The following is a 22,551-nucleotide window of genomic DNA, read 5'->3' on the forward strand; positions in this document are numbered from 1 at the left end:
GCACATGTAATCCCAGCTACTCGGGAGGCTGAGGCAGGAGAGTCAATTGAACCTGGGAGGTAGAGGCTGCAGTGAGCCAAGATTGGGTCACTGCACTCTAGCCTGGGAGACAGATTAAGACTCCATCTCAAATAAAAAAGAAAAAAAATGTAATCTAGTACTAGGCACCGATACATTTCTAGAGTATCAGTATAATTTCCTTCTTTTTTTTTTTTTTTTTTGAGACAGCGTCTCGCTCTGTTGCCCAGGCTGGAGTGCAGTGGCGCGGTCTCGGCTCACTGCAACCTCCACCTCCTGAGTTCAAGCAATTCTCCTGCCTCAGCCTCCCGAGTAGCTGGGACTACAGGCACGTACCACCACGTCCGGCTAATTTTTTGTATTTTTAGTAGAGATGGGGTTTCACTGTGTTAGTCAGGATGGTCTCGATCTCCTGACCTCGTGATCCACCCGCCTCGGCCTCCCAAAGTGCTGGGATTACAGGTGTGAGCCACTGCACCTGGCCTAGTACAATTTCAGTGTATTCTTGGGATTTGCTGTTCTTTTTTTTTAAACAGAGTCTCACTCTGTCACTGGGGCTGGAGTGCAGTGGTGCAATCTCAGCTCACTGTAACCTGTGCCTCCTGGGTTCAAGCCATTCTCCTGCCTCAGCCTCCCGAGTAGCCGGGATTCAGGCACCTGCCACAATGCCTGGCTCATTTTTGTATTTTCAGTAGAGAGAGGGTTTCACCCTGTTGCCCAGGCTGGTCTCGAACTCCTGACCTCGAGTGATCTGCCTGCCTTGGCCTCATGAAGTGCTGGGATTACAGGCATGAGCCACCGCGCCTGGCTGGTTTGTTGTTGTTTCTGCCATTGGCATCCAAAGATAAAGTTCCTTTCCTAAAATGACACCTTGACATGCTCAAGTATACAAACAGGAAGACATGACAGTATGAAAGACGCCACCTACTCCTCTTGTTATGACACGCATGGTTTCCCAAGTTACCAGTGCTTCTCTCTGGTTTGATCTGCATTGTCAAAAAAGAGTTGGGGTAGTTTCCTGAGTTTCCTCTCCCTGTATTACAGGACAAGAAATGTCACCAGTGAGAACTAGGTAACACAGAGAGCTAGTTTGCAACTCCTGACTGCTCAGGGAGAAAAATAACCAGCATTAACAGGGTTTTATTTTTGTTTTCCTTCCAACAGAGCAGCTCAAGCTCTTCCATCACAAAAATTCAATCTATACACAACAATGGAATTCAGTAGGAATCCAGGGAAAGGGAAGAAGTGGACAAAACAGATTGAAGTTTAACTTATCATTTTCCAAATACCCCAAATACCTAAAACACATCAAAAACAAAAAAACATTTACTTTATCAGTTTTTGTTTGTTTGTGTTTTTGAGACAGAGTCTCACTTTGTTGCCCAGGCTGGAGTGCAGTGGCACGATCTCGGCTCACTGCAACCTTTGCCGCCTGGGTTCAAGTGATTATCCTGCCTCAGCCTCTCATGTAGCTGGAATTATAGGCACAGGCCACCATGCCCAACTAATTTTTGTATTTTTAGTACAGATGGGGTTTCACCAAGCTGGCCAGGCTAGTCTTGAACTCCTGACCTCAGGTGATTCACCTGCTTTGGCCTCCCAAAGTGCTGGGATTACAGGCGTGAGCCACCACACCCGGCCTGGTTTACTGAATATAAATAGCTTAAATAGGGGTGTTACCCAGATTCCAGAAAAATAATACAGATATTTGGATAAATTAGGTAACTTTTGGTTATTTTTGTGCCATAAATCTAAAAACTTTATTAGTTTACTTATCACTAATATACCTGTCAAACTGTTGCTATGGAGCTTTCTACCATCAGGATATACAACCAAAGAAAAAAAGATTACTCAGAGTAGTAAAGAGTTTGGGAATGGGATACAGCGGACATATGACCCACCCTTTTGGGACTGCAGTGCCAAACCCGGAAATCACCTGTGTTTCACCAATCAGAACATCCTGTTTTTACTTTTTAATGGACATGCTTTTGTATCATGTACATCATTATGTTAATGGTTGGTAGCCATAAAACTTTTTTTTTGCTTACATCTACCTGTGTCTACTCTTTCAAATTTGTACAGAAAACCCAGCTCTGAGTGTATATCTTGATCTGGGAGAAACTAGCTATCCTTGAATATGCTTGGATAGTCCAAGGGTTCCTATCTTGACTATTTTAATGCCAGTTTAGTGAGCTAAGAAATGAACTAGAAACCAGAATGCTAGTTAGTGCTAAAACGGACACACTGAGTGACCACAGGACTTCCTTCTTGGCCAAACTGAGAGAGAAGGAGACTGTCATGAACAATATTAATATTAATGAAGCAAAACACTCAGATGATTTAGATGACAGCAGTAACTTCACTATGTTTTTTCCCATTTGTGCTGTGTGTATGTGTGCGTGTGTGTGTGTGTCTGTGTGTGTGTCTGTGTGGTACTTGATAATTTTTTATGGCCCTATGTGTCCATCCAGGTGAGAAAATATAATTGAGATCTAAGGCTTCCCTAGAAAGAATCTTAGAGATCATGCATTGTATCTGGATCTCAACTTACTTTTTTTATTTCTAAGATAATATTCTCCTAAATATTCAAACAATAATATAAGTTGTTTCTTTGCCTTTTGACCACCACCCAATTCCACTTTCCTTCCCAAAAATAACCAATGTTAATTAGTTATGTGTTCTACTCCTTTTCTGTACAGATACACAGAAATACATACAACCGACGCTGGGTGTGGTTGGCTCATGACTGAAATGTCAGCACTTTGGGAGGCCGAGGAGGGAAGATCACTTGAGCACAGGAGTCTAAGACCAGCCTGGGCAACATAGCAAGACCTTGTCTCTGCAAGAAATTTTAAAAAATTAGCTGGGCATGGTAGTGCATGCCTATCATCGCACCTACCCCAGAGGCTGAGGTGGGAGGACTGCTTGAGCACAGGAATTTGAGGCTGCAGTGAGCTAAGATGGCACCACTGCACTCTAACCTGGGCGACAGGGCTAAAAAAAAAAAAAAATTATATGTACACACACACACACACATACACGCAACTGCAATGACATATCTTTTTTTTTCTTTTTTTTTTTTTAAGACGGAGTCTCACTCTATTGCCCAGGCTGGAGTGCAGTGGCACGATCTCGGCTCACTGCAAGCTCTGCCTCCCGGGTTCATGCCATTCTCCTGCTTCAGCCTCCCGAGTAGCTGGGAGTACAGGTGCCCGCCACCATGCCCGGCTAATTTTCTGTATTTTTAGTAGAGACGGGGTTTCGCCGTGTTAGCCAGGATGGTCTGCGATCTCCTGACCTCGTGATCCGCCGGCCTTGGCCTCCCAAAGTGCTGGGATTGCAGGCGTGAGCCACCGCGCCTGGCCCAATTGTTATTTATTGAACAGAGTTTGAAGAAACTGAAAGTCTCCATTTCGGTGGCCAAAACCGCAATTACTTTTGCACCAACCTAATACTTTAAAACAAACAACAACAAAAACACAGTTGTTATTCAAACATAAATTCAACTGGCGCTCACTTTTGTCTTCACTTAAGTTAATCAGATGTTCATGTTACTATGAAGTTGACCAGTTAATTTGTAATGAATAATTAGTTAATTTGTAATGAATAATATTTCACTGAGTAGTCAAGCCCTCTTTCCACTAAACCAAGCTGCTTCTCACTGTACTAAACCCCGGGCTCTCTCTAAACTTTCAGGTGTTCCACTCCTTGTCACCTTCCCCTAGATCCTGAGTGGGGTTCACTCTTAGCTCCCTCGGGGGCCACTTCTCAACACTTACAGAGCTCCTATTGACCTGGCACGGTGGCTCACGCCTGTAATCCCAGCACTTTGGCAGGCCGAGGTGTGGGGATCACCTGAGGTCGGGAGTTCGAGACCAGCCTGACCAGCAAGGAGAAACCCTGTCTCTACTAAAAATACAAAAAATTAGCCAGGTGTGGTGGCGCATGCCTGTAATCCCAGCTACTCGGGAGGCTGAGATAGGAGAATTGCTTGAACCTGGCAGGCGGAGGTTGGGTGAGCCGAGATCGTGCCATTGCACTCTAGCCTGGGCAACAAGAGCGAAACTGTCTCCAAAAAAAAGAAAGAAAAGAAAAAAAGAAGACTTCCTATCTCCACCTGGGTCCCCAAGAGGTAAGAGGTATCTCCTTTTCTCCTGAGCCTAGGTCACCTCGGGGTCCCCCGAAGTTCCCCAGAAGGGGCTGCACAAGTCAGGACAAGAAGTCCAGGAAATGGGGGGTCGCCGATGACCACGCCCCGGGGCTCTGTTTGGGAACCCCCAAAATTTACTGAGGTGGAAAGATTGCGGGGTCATTGTGGGGTCAGGCTGAGGGGGCCGGGCCCAGCCCTATTCACGTGACCCGGTCCCAGGGAGAGGAGTTTGTTCACCCACCAGAGGGAACGCCCGACGCGAAGGCAGTGTGGCACCCTCCCTTCCCGGGGAGTCCTGGGCGTTGCTCTCCCACCCCGGCCGTGACGCAATCTCTCCGCGCCGGGGGCGGGACGAGCTTGACGCCATCTCCGGGCGCCCGGCTGTGGGGGGCGCTGGGTGTGGGGCGGCTCCGGGGCCGGGGATGGCGGCGGCCGCGGTTGCGGCGGCTCCGGGACGAGTGAGTGGATCCTGGGAAGCGCTGTGAAATGGGCTGGTGAGTGTCCCTGGAAGTGGTGGCCGCCGGGGCCAGGCAGGCCTGGGGTCGGTGCTCCGGAGGAAGTGGCCCTCAGGAGCCCGTTGCTCCGGCGGGCCGGGGCCCATGAACCGTGGACAGACGGAGGGGAGAGGCCGCACCTAGACCCCCTCGCGCTTCTCTCTGGCCTGTCCTGGAAGGTGGCCTCAGGCCCCGGCGCCCCGGAGGCTGTGTGCCTGCGAGCCAAGGTGTCCGAGTCTGTGGGGCGGGAAGGGCCCCCAAACAAGGAAGCGTCGCCTGCAGGGCCTCGCCCCTGCCCCCTTGGTGAAGGGTGGACCCCCTACTCTCTAAACGCAGAATTCCCAATTTCGAGCCCTACCCTTGTTGGATCAAGGATTGCGGGACCACTGGGAGCCATAACCGTAGTCTCTGACAAGCTTCTCCCTTTCTGTCGGGCGCACCTCTCGCCCGCAGAGAATTTGGGTCTCCAGCTGGGTTCAGCCCCTTGATTCCGACCCAAGCGTGATGAGGAGCTTGGTTCCGGGCTCTGCTAGCAGCGTTGGCAACTCTCCTGAACAGCCTGTTAGCTCGGTTGGGGTCACAAGCTGCGTTTTCCCTTTGAGATGCTCAGTGAGGTTCTCGAGAGGCGGAGGTTTCGGATTCTTAAGTGTGTTTTGCGTTGTGGGAACCTGGCGCACAGGCTTGGCTCTTTGTTTTCCTTTCTGCAGACCTTTTGCCTCTTTCGGTCCCTTTACTAGCCTGTGTTTGCTAACTTCTCGGTGACCTGGAGGCAGGTTTTCTTTAAAGTTTTCGTTACAGAAAGCAAGGATCATTTTGGGATTGAAGTGTGACCCCAGTTTCTGTTGGGAATGAAGAAGAAAGCAAGCTGCTTTTCAGTTATTAAAGCTGCTGGTGGAGAAAAGAGTCATTATTTATGCCACTGTGTAATAATATGTGTTTGTGGAATTAGGAATTTGTTTTCCCACTGTGTTTTCCTATCCTTCCACCTTTTGTGTACACCTGCACCTTGCCAATCTTAAGAGAGAAATGTTGCATTCGGTTTGGGTTGAGGCTTAGAGTGTTCTATAGGACTTGGACAGGATAGTCAGTTTCTCAGAGCACTCACTCATCTGTACTGCCTTCTCTGTTTTCAGAGGTTAAGGCTCCATTCTTTCTCGCTTTGCGTTTCTGGCAAGTGTAGATTCACATAGTGATGGTTTAGTGGTAGTTTTGTTTCACCAGTGTTAGCCAGCTGAGGACCAAGGCAATATTTTCAGTTTCTTTCATACCTGATTCAGCACTTGGTATACTGTCACTCAGAAAATTTTACATACACACACACATATGCTCATTTTTTTTTAACCCTGAAAATCTCTTAATAAGTCTTCTCCTTGAGTGACTCCCCCCTGACCTCTTTTTCTGCCCCAGAAACATAAATAATTGTTCTTTTTCATCTACTGCTGCTTTTTTTCATTTAAATAACTCCACATTTATGTTTTCATAGGCCCAGAATAAAGGGGAAATCCATAGAGTTGATTTTTCCTGCTTCCCATTGTTCATATGGGAACAGTGTTAAAGCTTCCATTTTTATTTGTGCGTTTATCTGAAATTTGGATTGGAGCAAATTTAACCTTTGGGGAACAGGCACAGGTAGATGTTAGGGAAATGATGTTACGGAAAACCAATGAAATTTGATACATGGAAATTTTTTTTCAGGGATGTCTTCTTACAAGTTGGAGCATTAGAGGTGTTTTTCTCTCTGTTCAACTGCCTGGGCACTCTGGGTAAATGTACTGTTTACCTGTGGAGAAGAAGATGAGGCAAGGACGTGTATACTCTAATGCTTTGGAATTACCTTTCATGGTGACCCTGGGGAGAATTAGAGGTCAGGCAGCCGCTTACTCCATTCCTGTTTCTATCTTCTAGGCTCCCGAGCCAGCCGGGAGGACACTTACTACAGCTGCTCAGAAGCACCACTGGAAACTCAGGTAATACCGGCACTTTGAATTCCTTGTTTCAGGAAAATATCTGGGATGTCACAGTGGAAAAACAGAACAGAATGTAATATAGAAAGCTCTTTTCAGATCCAAAGAACTGGAACCTGGTTGGAAGAAATAGGCAGCAAAGTTCATGTGCACTGAAGTGTTCAGACCAAAAAGTTGCTTTATAACAATGGACAAAAGCATTTGTGAAAGGTGACAATAAGAGAAAAGGGAAAGAGAACTTTCTTATGAATCATACAGATACGGGGAAAAAAACAGGCATGTTTAGAGGAATGGAACCAGAATTTCATGGAGTGGTGCCTGGAGCAGACCTACAGTGGAGAAGGAGCTATTGGTAAAAGAAAGCACAAAGAAAAAAGAAAGGGAATGAATAGAGAAGGCAAATTGAAGGTGATCATTGAGAAGAAGCCTTTTGAGACTAGGGAACCGGAAGTGTACGTAAGGTCAGAAGAATTTAGAATTTTGTTGTTCTTTGGTGAAGAGGAGAAACAAGTTGACAGCAAACTAGTTTAATCACTTTCACTATATAGAGGCTGAGTTAAAATGTATTATTTCATGGGTCAAAGATGTTAATTTTCATAACCTGGTTAGGGAGCAAAGTCTTAAAAAAAAAAACAAAACACGAGCAGACCTGAGGGTTTTGGCACCTAGGTCCTTGAGGTACTGATGAGATGAGGCAAAGGAGGAAGAGAGTTTTTAGCCAGGCTTGGGATAGCAGTAGGTGAGATCATAACCCAAATTAGGCTACAGAAAGGAAGCAAGGATGAGGTCATATGTTCAGGAAAGAAGGTGGCACATTCATGTTTGGTAGCAAAAGGAGAAACTTAAGAAAAAGAGCCAGCAGGAGGCTGGGCGCTGTGGCTCACACCCGTAATCCCAGCACTTTGGGAGGCTGAGGTGGGCGGATCACCCAAGGGCAGGCGTTCGAGACTAGCCTGGCCAACATGGTGAAACCCCATCTCTACTAAAAATACAAAGTTAGCCAGGCGTGGTGGTGCATGCCTGTAGTCCCAGCTGCTTGGGAGGCTGAGGCAGGAGAATTGCTTGAACCCGGGAGGCGAGGTTGCGGTGAGCTGAGATTGCACCATGTACTGTGGCCAGGGCAACAAGAGCAAAACTCCATGTGTTTTAAAAAAAAAAAAAAAAAAAAAAAAAAGCAAAAGAGCCAGCAGGAAAGACCATGTGTTCAAAGCCCCCTTTGGGAAGAAGGCAGAAAAGAGACAAGGTGCTTATGAGACACATGACTAACCGTGAAGCTGTTGGTCTCCCTGGGCTTGTGGAGCCCACAGGTTATTTGTGCATTGGTGAATGCGTGTCCCTGTAGCTCTTTGTGCCTTGTGATTTCCCCGACTGTTTCTCTCATGTCCCAGGCTGGATGAGTTGGGGGTAGCCTCCTTGTCTGCCCCTTTCTCTTTCCTCCTTATTTTCTAACAGTCCCCTTTGTTACATCTTCCTCCATGGCACAGTTCTTTCTATTTCCTTTGTCTTGGCTCATCCCTAGGTTACTTTTCTTTGCCTCTGATTTGTTCCCTAATAGATGTGGGCGCCCCAGCCAGAAGCAGAGAGGGGTACAGGGAAGCTACAGAGAAGCCCCTTCTGATGCCCCAGGGAGCAAGTCGACTCCTTCCAGGCTCCAGGAACACCACAAAGCAATATGAAACCTGTTCATGAAAGGAGTCAGGAATGCCTTCCACCAAAGAAACGAGACCTCCCCGTGACCAGCGAGGATATGGGGAGAACTACCAGCTGCTCCACTAACCACACACCCTCCAGTGATGCTTCTGAATGGTCCCGAGGGGTTGTGGTGGCTGGGCAGAGCCAGGCAGGAGCCAGAGTCAGCCTGGGGGGTGATGGAGCTGAGGCCATCACCGGTCTGACAGTGGACCAGTATGGCATGCTGTATAAGGTGGCTGTGCCGCCTGCCACCTTTTCACCAACTGGACTCCCATCTGTGGTGAATATGAGTCCCTTGCCCCCAACGTTTAATGTAGCGTCTTCACTAATTCAACATCCAGGCATCCACTATCCTCCACTCCACTATGCTCAGCTCCCATCCACCTCGCTGCAGTTCATTGGGTCTCCTTATAGCCTTCCCTATGCTGTGCCACCTAATTTCCTACCGAGTCCCCTCCTATCTCCTTCTGCCAACCTTGCCACCTCTCACCTTCCACACTTTGTGCCATATGCCTCACTTCTGGCTGAAGGAGCCACTCCTCCCCCACAGGCTCCCTCCCCGGCCCACTCATTTAACAAAGCTCCCTCTGCCACCTCCCCATCTGGGCAATTGCCACATCATTCAAGTACTCAGCCGCTGGACCTTGCTCCAGGTCGGATGCCCATTTATTATCAGATGTCCAGGCTACCTGCTGGGTATACTTTGCATGAAACCCCTCCAGCAGGTGCCAGCCCAGTTCTTACCCCTCAGGAGAGCCAGTCTGCTCTGGAAGCAGCTGCTGCAAATGGAGGACAGAGACCACGAGAGCGAAATTTAGTAAGACGGGAAAGTGAAGCCCTTGACTCCCCCAACAGCAAGGGTGAAGGCCAGGGACTGGTGCCAGTGGTAGAATGTGTGGTGGATGGACAGTTGTTTTCAGGTTCTCAGACTCCACGGGTAGAGGTAGCAGCACCAGCACACCGGGGGACCCCGGACACTGACCTTGAGGTCCAGCGGGTGGTTGGCGCTTTAGCTTCTCAGGACTATCGTGTGGTGGCAGCTCAGAGGAAGGAGGAACCCAGCCCCCTCAACCTATCCCATCATACCCCCGACCATCAGGGTGAGGGGCGAGGGTCAGCCAGGAACCCTGCAGAGCTGGCAGAGAAAAGTCAGGCCCGTGGGTTCTACCCTCAGTCCCATCAGGAACCAGTAAAACATAGACCTTTACCCAAAGCAATGGTTGTAGCCAATGGCAACCTGGTGCCCACTGGAACTGACTCAGGCCTGCTGCCTGTGGGCTCGGAGATCCTGGTAGCATCAAGTCTGGACGTGCAGGCCAGAGCCACCTTCCCAGACAAGGAGCCAACGCCGCCCCCCATTACCTCCTCTCACTTGCCTTCCCATTTCATGAAAGGCGCCATCATCCAGCTGGCTACGGGAGAGCTGAAGCGGGTGGAGGACCTCCAGACCCAGGATTTTGTGCGCAGTGCCGAAGTGAGCGGGGGGCTGAAGATTGACTCTAGCACGGTCGTGGACATTCAGGAGAGCCAATGGCCTGGATTTGTCATGCTGCATTTTGTGGTTGGTGAGCAGCAGAGCAAAGTGAGCATCGAAGTGCCCCCCGAGCACCCCTTCTTTGTATATGGCCAGGGTTGGTCCTCTTGCAGCCCTGGGCGGACGACACAACTCTTCTCTCTGCCCTGCCATCGGCTACAGGTGGGAGATGTCTGCATCTCTATCAGTTTACAGAGCTTGAACAGTAACTCAGTTTCTCAGGCCAGCTGTGCTCCCCCAAGCCAGCTGGGTCCCCCCCGAGAAAGGCCTGAGAGGACGGTCTTGGGATCCAGAGAGCTATGTGACAGTGAGGGGAAGAGCCAGCCGGCAGGAGAGGGCTCCCGTGTGGTAGAGCCTTCCCAGCCTGAGTCCGGTGCTCAGGCCTGCTGGCCAGCCCCGAGCTTCCAAAGATACAGCATGCAAGGGGAGGAGGCACGGGCTGCGCTGCTCCGTCCCTCTTTCATTCCACAGGAGGTAAAGCTGTCCATTGAAGGGCGTTCCAATGCGGGAAAATGAACCTCTTCCCCAGACCAGGACTGGGGCTTTACCCCAGAGCCTCGCCTCGCCGCCGTGAGCAGGCAGAGGATTTGCACACGCCGAGCAGGGAATGGCTTTCTTGGCAGTGAGATTTGGGGGAAAGGGGAGGCATGAAGTCAGCCTCCCAAGGCAGGATCTGTTGTTCATTACCCCATGGCATCCTTTCAGGACAACCCCAGAGGGTGTTGTGATGGGGAGCAGCAGGCCTGGGGCAAGGAAGGAAGGGGGTGCACACAGGAGAAGAAACATTCCAAAATCAGGGCCTCCCTGTTCTTTCCTCCCCATCCCTAGCTCCTGCAAGAGAAAGTCCAGGCTTTGGGAGCAGATGGCAGAGGGAGGGAGTAAAGAAAGAGCCAAAAATGATGATCCACAGCTTATAGTAGCAGTTAAACTGTCAGAAGTTTTTTTTCTTTTTTGTGGTAGAAGGGCAGGAGGCCCCAAGGTTGGAAATAAGAGGGTTCCCACCCAGAACCCTTCTTGTGAGAGATGCGCACTTTAAAGGGTGATTTTGTTCCAGATGTCTATGGCTGGGTGTGTGGGGGAGGAGCACTCTCATCTGCAGGACTCTGCTTGATCCTCTGCTTCATAGCCCTTCCCCATCTCTCCTCACCATTCTGCCTACAAGGCTTCTAGCAGCACGGGGGCCCGGAGGGAGAGCCCCTTCAGGGTTCAGAGTGAAGTACTACCTTGCCAGGGACTCAGTCAGGGGACTTTGGGAGAAAGACTTGATAGCCAGGCTGACTGGGTTCTAGGCAGGCCCTCTGGAAAGGTAGCTCACCTAACAAAGCTCCTCCATCTCAGCATGCCAGACCCACTTTGAAATCTCACAGAATCTTGCTGGTAATGGTGACTTTAGAACTAGTAGACCCTTTTTCCCAGGCACTGACCCCCCACCTTTGTCTGTGTTGTGCCCAAGTGCCTGCGCCACCCCCACCCTCCTGCTGCGCTGACCGCTGCATGGTGTCGTGACCTGGGCCTCATTTGTAGCTGCACTGCCTTTCCTTGTCTGCAAAGTTGGTTTTGTCCACTCTGACCAAGACCTCTAGTTTTTGGTGGGTAGGGGGTCTCTCTGGTTTCCCCTTCAGCTATAATCTCTATTTTTAAAATCTCAAAATCATGTCCCCTCCACTTCCACTGCCAAACAGCTTGGTGAAGAAACAAGAAGGGAACTATGCCCTGGGCCAGGGCGAATGCGTGGCTGGGCAGTGCCCATCATGGCATTTTCACATGTCCCATATGCCCCTCCTGTCTTATTCCACTGCTTCTCCCAGCATTCTGGTGCCTCCAAGCCATCCCCTCCCACCACCAGCTCTAAGATTCTAGGATAGTCTTGATAACATTTCAGTACCTGAATAGATGTCATTTTGTGTTGGTATATTCCTCTGCAAAAAGTATTTTCAATCTTGGTTGCATTGGCACCCCCCCTACCCCCCACCAATGTCTTAATCCCACATTTTCTTCACAACTTTTAGCATCAGCTCAGACCGTGGGGTTCCACTGGGTATTGGGAATTAGGCTCCCCCACTAGCTTTCAGGTGGGTAAGTTTTTTTGTTTGTTTTTTGGGGGTCTTTAGACTCTTGAAGGCAACTCAGGGTATTGTCCACGCAGCTCTCTGGTTAGACTTCTCCCAGGCTATGATCCTGGCATGTCCTTTATAAGGTATACTTGGATTGGCCGAGACCTGGCCTGGCATCAGGAGTCCAAACCTCTGAGGTCTGATCTCTGCTCTGTCAAGGACTTTCGGCAAGTCTCGTGACCTCTGGCTCTTTCACTTCCTCCCCACCTGCCAAATGGGGATAAATAATCTTACCTACCTCCTGGGGGGAGGGGAAGTTCTGAGAATGGAGTCATTCTTAGTGTTCAGGTGCTAAAGGTTGTTCTCCTGGGGGAACAGAGTGACTGAAACTGGCTTGTTTGCTACAAGCCCTACCCTCCACTCTTTCATTCCTTGAAAGCAGTTTGCCTGGTCAGTCAGCTTTTGGGGGTCCATCAAAGGAGGTTGCTGACCTGACCGTGAGTGCTTCAGTATCTGGTTTGTGTCAGAACCAGACGCCAACTTTGTACTGCATTTGGGATCATATCTTTCCCCTTCTCTGTCCCCCATTCTCTGAATGCTGCTTTCTCTGGCTTGTTTCCTACAGTGGGGGCCTGTGGGGTTGAGTCTTGAGGAATCCCCTCAAATGAGAAGGCCTTGGGAGAAGGCCTCATCTCTGGCTGTTTCATGAGCAACTCATTCCTAGAGTTCATTGTTTGCATGGGTTTCTCACAAGCGTCCTTCCTCATAGGAAGGCTCATCAACTGAATTTAGTGACATGTACACAGTAGATGCTCAAGCAGTGTCTGCAAGGACACAAGCTGAGCTTTCTCCTTATGGGGCAAACCTATGTCTAACCAGATACAGACCAATTAGTTTAGATCAAATCACCTTCCACTTGGGCTACTTGTGACTTTCCAACCTGGTAACTTCCACTGAATTCTGGAAAGAGAAATTCTTGAGGACCCTGGCAAGTTGGGCCCTGACCTTTCTGTTGCTGTCTCTTGCTGGTGAAGCAATACCAGCAGTTCCTGTAATACCACAATATCGTTCCATGCATATATAACATATTAATACTTGATTTTGCTGAGCTGCAAAGGTATCTGTCATAAAATATGGTCCCCAGGAAAAGAATCTCTGTGCTCTAAATCTCGGTCAGAGCTGTGGCCTCCCCCTTGCCTTTAACCTCTAGTTTAGTCTTTTCCTCCAGGCATGAAAAATATGACTAACCTGTGGTGTGTCCATTCTTCCTTATAGGAATTTCCTGAGTTTGCAGGAGACATGAGAGCAGTTTTTAGCGAGTATTTTAGTGGGAAGTTGCCAACTTTTTAAGAATGAGCAGTTGACAAGGGCCAGAGCCTGTCCCTTGTCAGCAGTAGGACATTTCCAGCTCTTAGGAATAGAAAGGAGGACTGCTGACTGTCTGGCGCTGTATAAAAATGTGTATACCAATTTGGGAATAGGGGAACCCAGTCATGGATGGATAATAAGCCAAGTCTTGAATCATTCCTATCAAGATTAGTATACATGAGGAAGAGGTGGCATGGGGGGAAGGGGCTCTGGGAGTTCAGAGCTGAGTACTTGTACCTGAGGGAGGGCCCCCAGCCAATCTGGGCTGGTCCTTCTATATTCTTGGTCCCAGTTGGTCATAACACCAAGGGCTTTGCCCTGCGCTGCTTTGCCACTGCTGCTGTCCGCTCACTGTCCTGCCTGCTGTCCTCTACAGCTCCCTATCCTTCCATGTCTTTGGCCATGTAGATTAAGTGTAGGCGTCCGGTTCATTCTTACCTGTGTTAGGCCATGTTATTTTATAGCGAAGTCATGTTCGATAGGGATGGTATGAAATGCTGCTGGTGGGCTGGTAAATCCAAAGGGATAAGGCTTCAGTGCTGTTGGGAGCCCTCTGGCTCCAAATGTCTGACTATCTTGAGGGAGAAACAAGCAGGTTTCTACTAGTGGTGTCTTCTGTTGTATTAACTTCTTTCCTTTGTGGTATCTTGTATCCTGTTTTAAAAACTAAATGAAGGGAACCACATTAGGGCCCATGCCAGCATCCCAGTGAAGTTCGTCCAGCTCCAGTTAGGTGGATTCTGGAGTTCGGAGAGGGTTTAAAGTTTGGCTGAAATAGCACCTCAAGTGGGGTTTAGTTTTATTTTTACCTGCGGGCATCATGGGCGATTTAGGGGGAAGCACAGGATGGTGGTGTGGTTTAAACCTGCAGCAAGCAGGCATGTTGAAGAGTTGAGTGATCACGCTGGAGATGAAGGGTTGGACATGGATTGACTGGGAAAAGGCCTGGGTCCATTGGAGTAAAGATAACCTAGTCGATTGAATTGGCCATGGGAAGTTAGGTCACAGTCTTATAAACAAAGTAAATAGGACAGAGACTAAGTTTTAGGGAGACATCTTGGCCTCCTAGGCTAAGTTTACTAAACCACACTGAAGCTATAGTACCTTCCAGATGGGCAAAAGTGTACACTACAGTTGAGGAGCTGAACCTTATTAGGTTGGATGTCGATCAGGAACCTGTTTGCCCTTTGCTGGGAAGCCTTCACTCTCCAGCTTTCCTGGGGTAGGGAAGGTCTCCCACATTATGCAATAATAAAATAAGCATCTGGGTCTTTGCAGCTGTCAGTTGCTCTTTCAACTCTAGGATCCATCTTTGGACCAGAAGCCTGGTCTGTGCCTAGGATGACACTGGCCCCAGAGATGCTAGAGTCGACTGCACTCTCTCCTTAGCTGCAGACCATGCACAGTGCCTGGGGCGGAAGGAGGAGAGGTGTTGCGGTTTGCCCTGCTGCCTCCCCAGCAGGAACAATAGTCATAAATGCACTTTTCACACTAAAGGTTTCTTTATTAGTTCTCCAGTTAAACCTAGATCCCTCCCTGGTAGATTGCGAACTCAAAGTTTTGTGATCCCAAAGCCATTCCACTGCAAATGCCCAGCAGTGAAGATGGCCTCAAATTGGGTTCTTGCCTGCAGTGTGTGTGGCAGCAGCCCATGTGCCTTTACCTGTTGTCAAACTTGCAAGCATTTATTTGTCTTTATGACTGTCATGGGGACTGAGGTTCTTCAGAGAAAGAGTGTGAGCTGATGACACAGTGGTTTTACACCCACCCCCTGGGCAGGGAGTTTGCACGTAGTTGTGAGCTGTGAGTGGTTAGTGCATTGCTGGTATTGCTGAAGGCAGGGTTGATCCCTCACTTGACTGATACTTGCATTCAAGAGAATCTAGATTGTGTTGGGGGAGGGACTGACTGTACTCATGGCTAACTTAAAGTATTAAAATAAGGCTGTCCCCTACAACCTTCTTAGTCACACAGGATCCCTGTAGCCAAAACAGTATATGATCCAGCTGCAGAGAGCAGACTGCTCTCAGCTTGCACAGCACCTTAGGCGAGGGAAGAATATACGGATAGGGAATGGGGTGGAGAAAGGATGGGAATGTTGTCATCCAGGTGGCTTTAGGGTCCTAAGGAGTGGAGAAGGATGGCACTGGGGAGGTCTGGATGGATCTGTGTAGGAGTTCCCTGTAGATAAATTACTGATCCCCCATCTACTATCCCCAGTATGTAATGGCTGAATTAATATGTAATCAACTGCATTGTATCTAAAGCCTTAGAACTAGTCAGGTGCTCCCTCCACCCAATACCATTTCTTACCCTCTAATCCTACCTGATCTTTAACAAAGCATTAATAATTCTAAGGATAATCTCTATTTTGTTGTGCTTTTTTGTAACTGTTTTAAATAAATCAATTTGTACTGTATATTTGTACTTTTGTGAGATCCTTTTTGCTGTTTTACCATTTTAAGTCTCTGTACTTGGCTACACACAGATTGTATTTTTATTGTTAATGCTCTTCTTATGGATACCTGCATTTAACTTGTGGACTATGTAAACACAATATCTATCAATATCTATATATCTATATATCTATCTATATAAACTACTAGCTTTTCCTTTTGGTGTTTGCGCCTTCTTCCTATCCCAGCCTTAGATGGTGGCCATGGGGTGGGGGATAGAAACCTTTGTGGGAGCAGTTGTAATGGAACACAAATGGTGGCTTTATTTGTGCGGTGAGCTCAAGGGAGATGGCATGAGCTTGTCCTCAAGCATGGTCTTTCCCCTCTGTTGGTGTGGATTTCAGAGACCCGGAAGTCTACCTGAACACTTAGATTCTAGTGGAATCACAAGGATCTGTAGGTGCCTTCGCTGCTGGCCTTCTCCCCAATTCTTTACTCAGGAATACTGCCAGAAATTGCTGGAATAAGTCAGCCCCAATCATAGCTACTGCCTAAAATTTAGAAAGCTTGCCACTAGTAATGGCATTTATGGAACACTTATTATGGGCTACAAAATATCCTAAGTGCTTTGTATGTACGGACAAGCTTTTTTTGCTAGTATTATTTCCATTTTGTGGATGGGGAAGCCAAGACATAGAGGTTAAGTAACCTCCCCAAAGTTACACAGCTAGTGTGGCAGGGCACTTCTGAACCCAGAGGTGCAACTCTTGAGTTTGTATGAATTCAGAGTTTCTTGTGAAGATTGAGATCATCTATGTAAAGCGCTTAGAATCATCTGTGGCACATGGTGAGGACTCAGTCATTTTAAAGCATCCCAAGTAGGACTCCAGTATGGAGCTCTGGGAGAAAGGCATTTGGGTCAATTAAGTAAATTAAACAGTTTTTGTTTGTTTTTTTTTGTTGTTGTTTTTTTTTTTTTAGATAGAGTCTCACTGTGTTGACAGGCTGGAGTGCAGTGGCACAATCTCAGCTCACTGCAACTTCCACCTCCCGGGTTCAAGTGATTCTCGTCTTCGGCCTCCCGAGTAGCTGGGATTGATTACAAGCACGCCAACTAAGTATTTTCTTTTAAATGTATTTTTCAAAACAAATATTTTAGCCTGCTTGGTGAAAGTACCTTAGTTTGTTAGCTGGGTGTGGTGGTGCACACCTATAGTCCCAGCTACTTGGGAGGCTGAGGCAGGGGGATCACTTGAGTCCAGGAGTTAGAGGTTATGGTGAGCTATGATCTTGTCACTGTACTCCAGCCTAGGTGACAGAGTGATATCCTTTCTCAAAAAAGCAAACTCCAGGCAGGGTTCTACGTAGCTCGCGCCTGTAATCCCAGCACTTTGGGAGGCCAAGGCAGGGGATCACCTGAGGTCAGGAGTTCAAGACCAGCCTGGCCAACATGGCGAAACCCTGTCTCTACTAAAAATACAAAAAGTAGCCGGGTGTGGTGGCACGTGTCTGTAACACCAGCTACTCGGGAGGCTGAGGCAGAATTGCTTGAACTCGGGAGGCAGGGGTTGCAGTGAGCCAAGATCACGTCATTACACTCCAGCCTGGGCAACAGAGCGAGACTCCGTCTCAAAAAACAAACAAAAAACAAAAAACAAAACCCCTAGTTTGGCGGGGGTCAGTTGACACTGTTAAACAGCCTTGGACCTATGGAGGTCAGAGAGGAATCCAAGTTTCCCTGTTAAGATATTGGAAGAAGTCCGCATTCCTGGCATAGTTATTTTTCTGGCTACAATTTAACTAGGGCACTTCCTTCTGGACCTCAAGATCTATAATTATCTAAACTGAACACAACCTTTGGTGCAGGCTAGGAAGGTTCTGTGCCTGTTCTGTACCATCACAGAAACTTTTTAGAAATGACCTCAGCTCTTGTCTCCTCCATGGTTTGGCAGTCATACAACCTGCCAGAGTAATCATTTTGCCCTAGCCTTAACCTGAGCTCTCTTACCACCTTAATTCTGGATTTTCTTCAGTGAGCTTATTTTCCTTCCTTGCCTCTGGTGAACAAATAAAACACAAATAAAATGCAAACATGAGTTTCTTGGTGCTGTGCACCTTAATATTGCAGCTATTTCTATGAGCCTATTCCTAGATGCAGCTGACTACTGTCTAGAATTGTAAATGTTCGACAATATTGCTGGGAAAAGTTGCACACCTAGTTGAAGGTATTGCATAGTCTTTAGAAAACAGCAGTTATGAGAAGAGACTTCTTCTGAGTTTGGAAAAGGTAAGCTAGGTTTAAACAGCCCTTGGGACCACAGGTATCTTCATTATGGTTGTGGGAATAATCATCACAGTCAACATCGGTTCTTTCTTCGGTGTCATGCTAATTCCTCGGCAACTTGTAAAGGCCCAAATAAGGACCTCTGCTTGGACAGCCTAAGCTGAGGAGCATCCTCCCTAAGAAAACGGCAAGCCACCAGAAGCCACTGTCTGAAAATTTCCACCCAGGTTTCTCCTAGATCACTTCATTTGCTAGAATGACATTGAGAGAAAAGCAAGAAAGGGGCAGTAAAGATAAAATTAATTTATTTGACTTCACAACTTCATGGGCCACACAGGGGCCCCACAGTCCTAGAAGCACAGCCTGTGGCAGTGGGCTGGGGAGGCCAGTTCTCTGGACTGCCTGCTCCCTTGTCCAGAGCTGCCTTGAGCCAGGTCCCTCCTGACCCCATCATCCTGTTCCCATATGCAAGGGCTGCTCAGGTCCACCTGCAATAAACCCAGGCCTGCCTCTGGCAGCAAGGACAGGGCCTCGTGGGTGGCAGCAGCACTGGTCCTCGTGGCTGTGGGTGTGGGTGGGTGGGTAGGTAGGTGGGAAGGAGGGCAGGCAGGAGGGTGTGGTTCAGTGCAGAGAGCTGCTGTTCTGCTCTTCAAAGGCCATCTTGCCCAGAAGCTGGCTGTCCAACTCCACCCCACTTACAGGCAGCTGGAAGAAGTTCATTTCAGCTGCTAAGGCTGCCATGGCAGAAGGGTCCTGGCCAAACTGAGCTCGCAACATCATGTCCATTTTCTCCAGCCTCCTCTTGAGCCGCTTGGCCTCTCGCTCTCGGATGAGCCGGGCCTGCCGCTTTTCCGGGGTTTCATTGGCCCGCTTCAGCCTCATGGCCTCCCGATCCCGCTGCAGCCGGCGTGCCCGCTGCTCGTCTGTCTCCTGCATGCGCTGCAAGCGCTTGGCTTCACGGTCCCTCATGCGCCTCACCTCCCGCTCCTCGGGGGTCTCATTGTCCCGCCGGCTCTTCTTGGCCGTGCGCTCTCGTTCCAGCCGCTGCAGCCGTACTTCCAAAGGCTCATTCTGTCGACGTAGAGCCCACTTGCGTACACTGGGAGTCTGGGCTTCCAGCAGTTTACGGTAGGCAGCACAGTTGTTGCACACAAGCAGAATTCCAGCAGGGTACACTGGAGGACTAAAGGCAATATCCTTCCCCTCAGCACTGGAGGGACCCTCATTGTGGACTGTGGGTAGGGATTCCATATTTAGTACTTCAGGAAGTTTCTCACTGGAAAGGAAACATTTTGGATGGTTAGTGTTTCCTTCTAGCAAGAGTCGGGACTCCAGCCCTGCCTTATTCTTTTCCTATGAGGCCAGTGGCTCCACGCTCACCACAAGGGGTCAGTTTGAATGCTTGGTGGACCTCTTCTGCTGCTCCATCCCTTCTCTTCGCGTGAGAGTTGTCTACCAACTTTTTTTTTTTTTTTTTGAGACAGAGTCTTGCTCTGTCGCCCAGGCTGGAGTACAATGGTGCAATCTCAGCTCACTGCAACCTCCGCCTCCTAGGTTCAAGCCATTCTCCTGCCTCAGCCTCCTGAGTAGCTGGGATTACAGGCGCACGCCACCACGCCCGGCTAATTTTTGTATTTTTAGTAGAGACGGGGTTTCACCACATTGGTCAGGCTGGTCTCAAACTCCTGACCTTGTGATCCACCCGCCTCGGCCTCCCAAAGTGCTGGGATTACAGGCGTGAGCCACTGTGCCCGGCCGGGTGTCTACCAACTCTAAAAGCCCATCTGGAGTTAACTGAGCCACCTGCCACAGCAATGCACCAGAAATCAGACAAACCCTTGGTGTTTTCACTCAAGCCAGAATAATGATTTTGATAAGAGCTTTGCAGGGGCAGTCCTGCTGTGGGAATGGAGGCTCCTGGAGGTGGAGACCTCCTTCAGGCAAGGTGCAGACCACCAACTCACCTCCTTCCCTCACACTACCTGCATGCAAAGGCAGACTCTGCACTGTACACTAGACAAACGGGACAAGGACACAACGTTCCAGTCTTCCTAGGACACGATGGAGACTGCATCCTCATGCCAGGGTCCTCTCTACCCTATAACTTCTTTCTCCATGCTTTATCATGAGTGTTCTTGGAATTGCCTACATCTCTTTCTAGTTGAAGATATTCTGATGGGAAAATAAATGGGAATTCATTTTCCTTTGGGGCTATGTGAGGGAATAGGCATATTTCCTAGCCTTCTTACTTGTACTTCCAAGGAGCATGCATCAGCTGCCTTTGCATTACCTATTTCTAGCCTTCGCTTTGACTTCAGAAAGCAGAACTCACACCCAGTAATTTGCTCCCAGCACAACAGGGATAAGTGCCCAGCTGACCTGTTAAAAGTGGCATGGCTGGTGAACCGGGCTCCACACACAGCACAGTTAGATCGCTGGTCCTCCGAGTGGATTAAGAGGTGGCGACCCAATGACCCCGGGGAGCTAAGGGCCCGGCCACAGACAGGACACATGTAGCTCTTGGCGCTCACCACTGCTGCAGTGTGCTGTAAAACAGAGCCTTGATCTGTCAGTCTTGCGCTACCTCCAGGACAATCTGCACCCACTTAGAAATGACTTTTGGGAAATGTCCCCTTTCTTTAGTCTCAGAATAAGGAACTTCCAAGTATTCTGTTTAGCCCCTAGAAAAGTCAGTCTCTTACATTAGAGGCCCTGGCCATTTAGACCACTGCTTAGATTTCATTAGCTTGAGCTCTGCCTACGTTCTGGGACATGTGGCTGACTTAAGGAACAGTGGGAGCCAGGCACAGTGGCTCATGCCTGTAATCCCAACACTTTGGGAGGCCGAGGCAGGTGGATCACGAGGTCAGGAGTTCAAGACCAGCCTGGCCAATATGGTGAAACCCCATCTCTACTAAAAATACAAAAATTAGCCTGGTGTGGGGGCAGGTGCCTGTAGTCCCAGCTACTTGGGAAGCTGAGGCAAGAGAATCACTTGAACCTGAGAGGTGGAGTTCACAGTGAGCCAAGATCACACCACTGCACTCCAGCCTAGGTAATACAGCGAAATTCTGTCTCAAAAACAAAACAAAACAAAACAACAACAACAGTGGGGCGCCAGAGCCCTCTTCAGAGCCTAAGAGGAATTCATGTCTCGGATAATTTCTCTCTGTCTCCCTGGCTCACACTGTGCAGGTACAAATTACGTGTTAAGGGAACAATAAAGGCCAAATCTAGAAGCTGGCCTGGAATACTGGTATGCAACAGGTATTTATATCTTGCTTTCTCAATCTTTTCAAGATAGTCTTCTGAAGAAATACTTGTCCTCATGAACCAACTATCTTTATGGTACAGCCCAGGCTGCCATGTGTGCTGATACCTTGTCAACACCGACCAGGAGGTACAGGTGCCCTGTGATTGGATCATGGTAAAAAGAACACAAAAGTCTGGTATTCGGATCCCCTGGTTCACACTAATTTTTAACATACCATTTGTGTTAACTAATTTTTTTTTTTTAAGACACGTCTCGTTTTGTCACCCAGGCTGGAGTGCAGTGGCATAATCTCAGCTCACTGCAGCCTCCGCCTCCCAGGTTCAAGCCATTCTCCTGCCTCAGCTTCCCGAGTAGCTGGGATTATAGGCGTGCGCCACCACACCTGGATAATTTTTTTTGTATTTTATTAGAGACAGGGTTTCACCATGTTGGCCAGGCTGGTCTCAAACTCCTGACCTCAAGTGATCCGCCCACCTTGGCCTCCCAAGGTGCTGGGATTACAGGCGTGAGCCACTGCGCCTGGCCCATGTTAACTAATTTTCTTTTCTTTAACACAAAGCCCTCATTATTAGTATACATTAGTTTCTATTTCACTATTTAAAATATACATTAAATAATTTAGAAAAAAAATCACTTAATTTTCACAGTGTGTCTGCCCGGAAACCCAGAATGTGTTTATCTAATATATCTCATTTATTTTCTAAAATGTTGGAAGCTTGGAGCAGAATCTCTTTTTTTTTTTTTTTTTTTTAATACAGTCTCACTCTGTCACCCTAGCTGAAGCATGATCACTGCAGCCTCAACCTCCTAGGCTCAAGCTATCCTTCCACCTCAGTCTTCCAAGTAACTGGTACTACAGGTGCAAGCCACCATGCCCAACTAATTTAAAAAAAAATTTTGTAGGGCTGGGGTCTTGCTATGTTGCCTAGGCTGGTCTTGAACTCCTGAGGTTAAGCAATCCTCCCCACTTCAGCCTCTCAAAGTGCTGGAATTCTGGGTGTGAGCCACCACACCTGGCTTTGGGCTGAATTTTTTTTTTCTTTTTGAGACAGAGTCTAACTCTGTCACCCAGGCTGGAGTGTAATTGCGTGATCTTGGCTCACTGCGACCTCCGCCTACTGGGTTCAAGCAATTCTCCTGTCACAGCATCCCGAGTAGCTGGGACTACAGGCGCATGCCACCACACCTGGCTAATATTTGTATTTTTGGTAGAGACAGGGTTTCGCCATGTTGGCCAGGATGGTCTCGAACTCCTGACTTCAAGTGATCTACCCGCCTCGGCTTCCCACAGTGCTGGGATTACAGGCGTGAGCCACTGCGCCC

The 22,551-nt window shown here is 48.5% G+C and overlaps 2 protein-coding genes across 22 annotated transcripts in view, besides 9 other annotated features; one reads left to right on the forward strand and one right to left on the reverse strand.

The window, feature by feature from the left end:
- Window positions 872-991: an enhancer, noted in NCBI's record as "active region_11080". NCBI's record gives its function as "activates an Ori minimal core promoter by ATAC-STARR-seq in GM12878 lymphoblastoid cells {active_cell/tissue: GM12878}" and the evidence as "EXISTENCE:reporter gene assay evidence [ECO:0000049][PMID:35858748]".
- Window positions 3,606-4,378: an enhancer, noted in NCBI's record as "H3K27ac hESC enhancer chr16:71878951-71879723 (GRCh37/hg19 assembly coordinates)". NCBI's record gives its function as "activates a minimal SCP1, AML or CMV promoter by ChIP-STARR-seq in naive H9 embryonic stem cells {active_cell/tissue: H9 hESC(naive)}" and the evidence as "EXISTENCE:reporter gene assay evidence [ECO:0000049][PMID:30033119]".
- Window positions 4,112-4,161: an enhancer, noted in NCBI's record as "active region_11081". NCBI's record gives its function as "activates an Ori minimal core promoter by ATAC-STARR-seq in GM12878 lymphoblastoid cells {active_cell/tissue: GM12878}" and the evidence as "EXISTENCE:reporter gene assay evidence [ECO:0000049][PMID:35858748]".
- Window positions 4,379-5,150: an enhancer, noted in NCBI's record as "H3K27ac hESC enhancer chr16:71879724-71880495 (GRCh37/hg19 assembly coordinates)". NCBI's record gives its function as "activates a minimal SCP1, AML or CMV promoter by ChIP-STARR-seq in naive H9 embryonic stem cells {active_cell/tissue: H9 hESC(naive)}" and the evidence as "EXISTENCE:reporter gene assay evidence [ECO:0000049][PMID:30033119]".
- Window positions 4,422-4,731: a silencer, noted in NCBI's record as "silent region_7685". NCBI's record gives its function as "represses an Ori minimal core promoter by ATAC-STARR-seq in GM12878 lymphoblastoid cells {active_cell/tissue: GM12878}" and the evidence as "EXISTENCE:reporter gene assay evidence [ECO:0000049][PMID:35858748]".
- Window positions 4,534-15,886, forward strand: ATXN1L (ataxin 1 like). The gene is made up of 3 exons (NM_001137675.4): window positions 4,534-4,662; window positions 6,568-6,629; window positions 8,182-15,886. The coding sequence occupies exon 3, from the start codon at window positions 8,299-8,301 to the stop codon at window positions 10,366-10,368; it is 2,070 nt and encodes a 689-aa protein (NP_001131147.1). The 5' UTR covers window positions 4,534-4,662; window positions 6,568-6,629; window positions 8,182-8,298; the 3' UTR covers window positions 10,369-15,886.
- Window positions 4,952-5,021: an enhancer, noted in NCBI's record as "active region_11082". NCBI's record gives its function as "activates an Ori minimal core promoter by ATAC-STARR-seq in GM12878 lymphoblastoid cells {active_cell/tissue: GM12878}" and the evidence as "EXISTENCE:reporter gene assay evidence [ECO:0000049][PMID:35858748]".
- Window positions 9,258-10,037: an enhancer, noted in NCBI's record as "H3K4me1 hESC enhancer chr16:71884603-71885382 (GRCh37/hg19 assembly coordinates)". NCBI's record gives its function as "activates a minimal SCP1, AML or CMV promoter by ChIP-STARR-seq in primed H9 embryonic stem cells {active_cell/tissue: H9 hESC(primed)}" and the evidence as "EXISTENCE:reporter gene assay evidence [ECO:0000049][PMID:30033119]".
- Window positions 11,857-11,996: an enhancer, noted in NCBI's record as "active region_11083". NCBI's record gives its function as "activates an Ori minimal core promoter by ATAC-STARR-seq in GM12878 lymphoblastoid cells {active_cell/tissue: GM12878}" and the evidence as "EXISTENCE:reporter gene assay evidence [ECO:0000049][PMID:35858748]".
- Window positions 14,497-14,546: an enhancer, noted in NCBI's record as "active region_11084". NCBI's record gives its function as "activates an Ori minimal core promoter by ATAC-STARR-seq in GM12878 lymphoblastoid cells {active_cell/tissue: GM12878}" and the evidence as "EXISTENCE:reporter gene assay evidence [ECO:0000049][PMID:35858748]".
- Window positions 15,887-18,237: 2,351 nt separating the features above from the next.
- ZNF821 (zinc finger protein 821) overlaps window positions 18,238-22,551 on the reverse strand; it is a 35,577-nt gene continuing 31,263 nt past the window's right edge. For 13 of the 21 annotated variants that reach the window (XM_047434342.1, XM_047434347.1, XM_011523212.4 and 10 more), the window contains 2 exons: window positions 20,334-20,500; window positions 18,238-19,230 (listed from right to left, as the gene is read on the reverse strand). In XM_047434342.1, coding sequence (XP_047290298.1) covers window positions 18,576-19,230; window positions 20,334-20,500 — 822 coding nt within the window. In that variant the 3' untranslated portion in view covers window positions 18,238-18,575. The remainder of the gene's footprint in view (window positions 19,231-20,333; window positions 20,501-22,551) is intronic. The other 8 variants (NM_001376300.1, NM_001376297.1, NM_001201552.2 and 5 more) reach the window with 2 other exon arrangements.

This window comes from Homo sapiens, chromosome 16, assembly GCF_000001405.40.
Source record: "Homo sapiens chromosome 16, GRCh38.p14 Primary Assembly".
In the NCBI taxonomy this organism is placed as follows: domain Eukaryota; kingdom Metazoa; phylum Chordata; class Mammalia; order Primates; family Hominidae; genus Homo; species Homo sapiens.

Excerpts from the sequence above, each read along its gene's own strand:
- ATXN1L (NM_001137675.4), top strand. The coding sequence starts at position 8,299 with ATGAAACCTGTTCATGAAAGGAGTCAGGAATGCCTTCCACCAAAGAAA.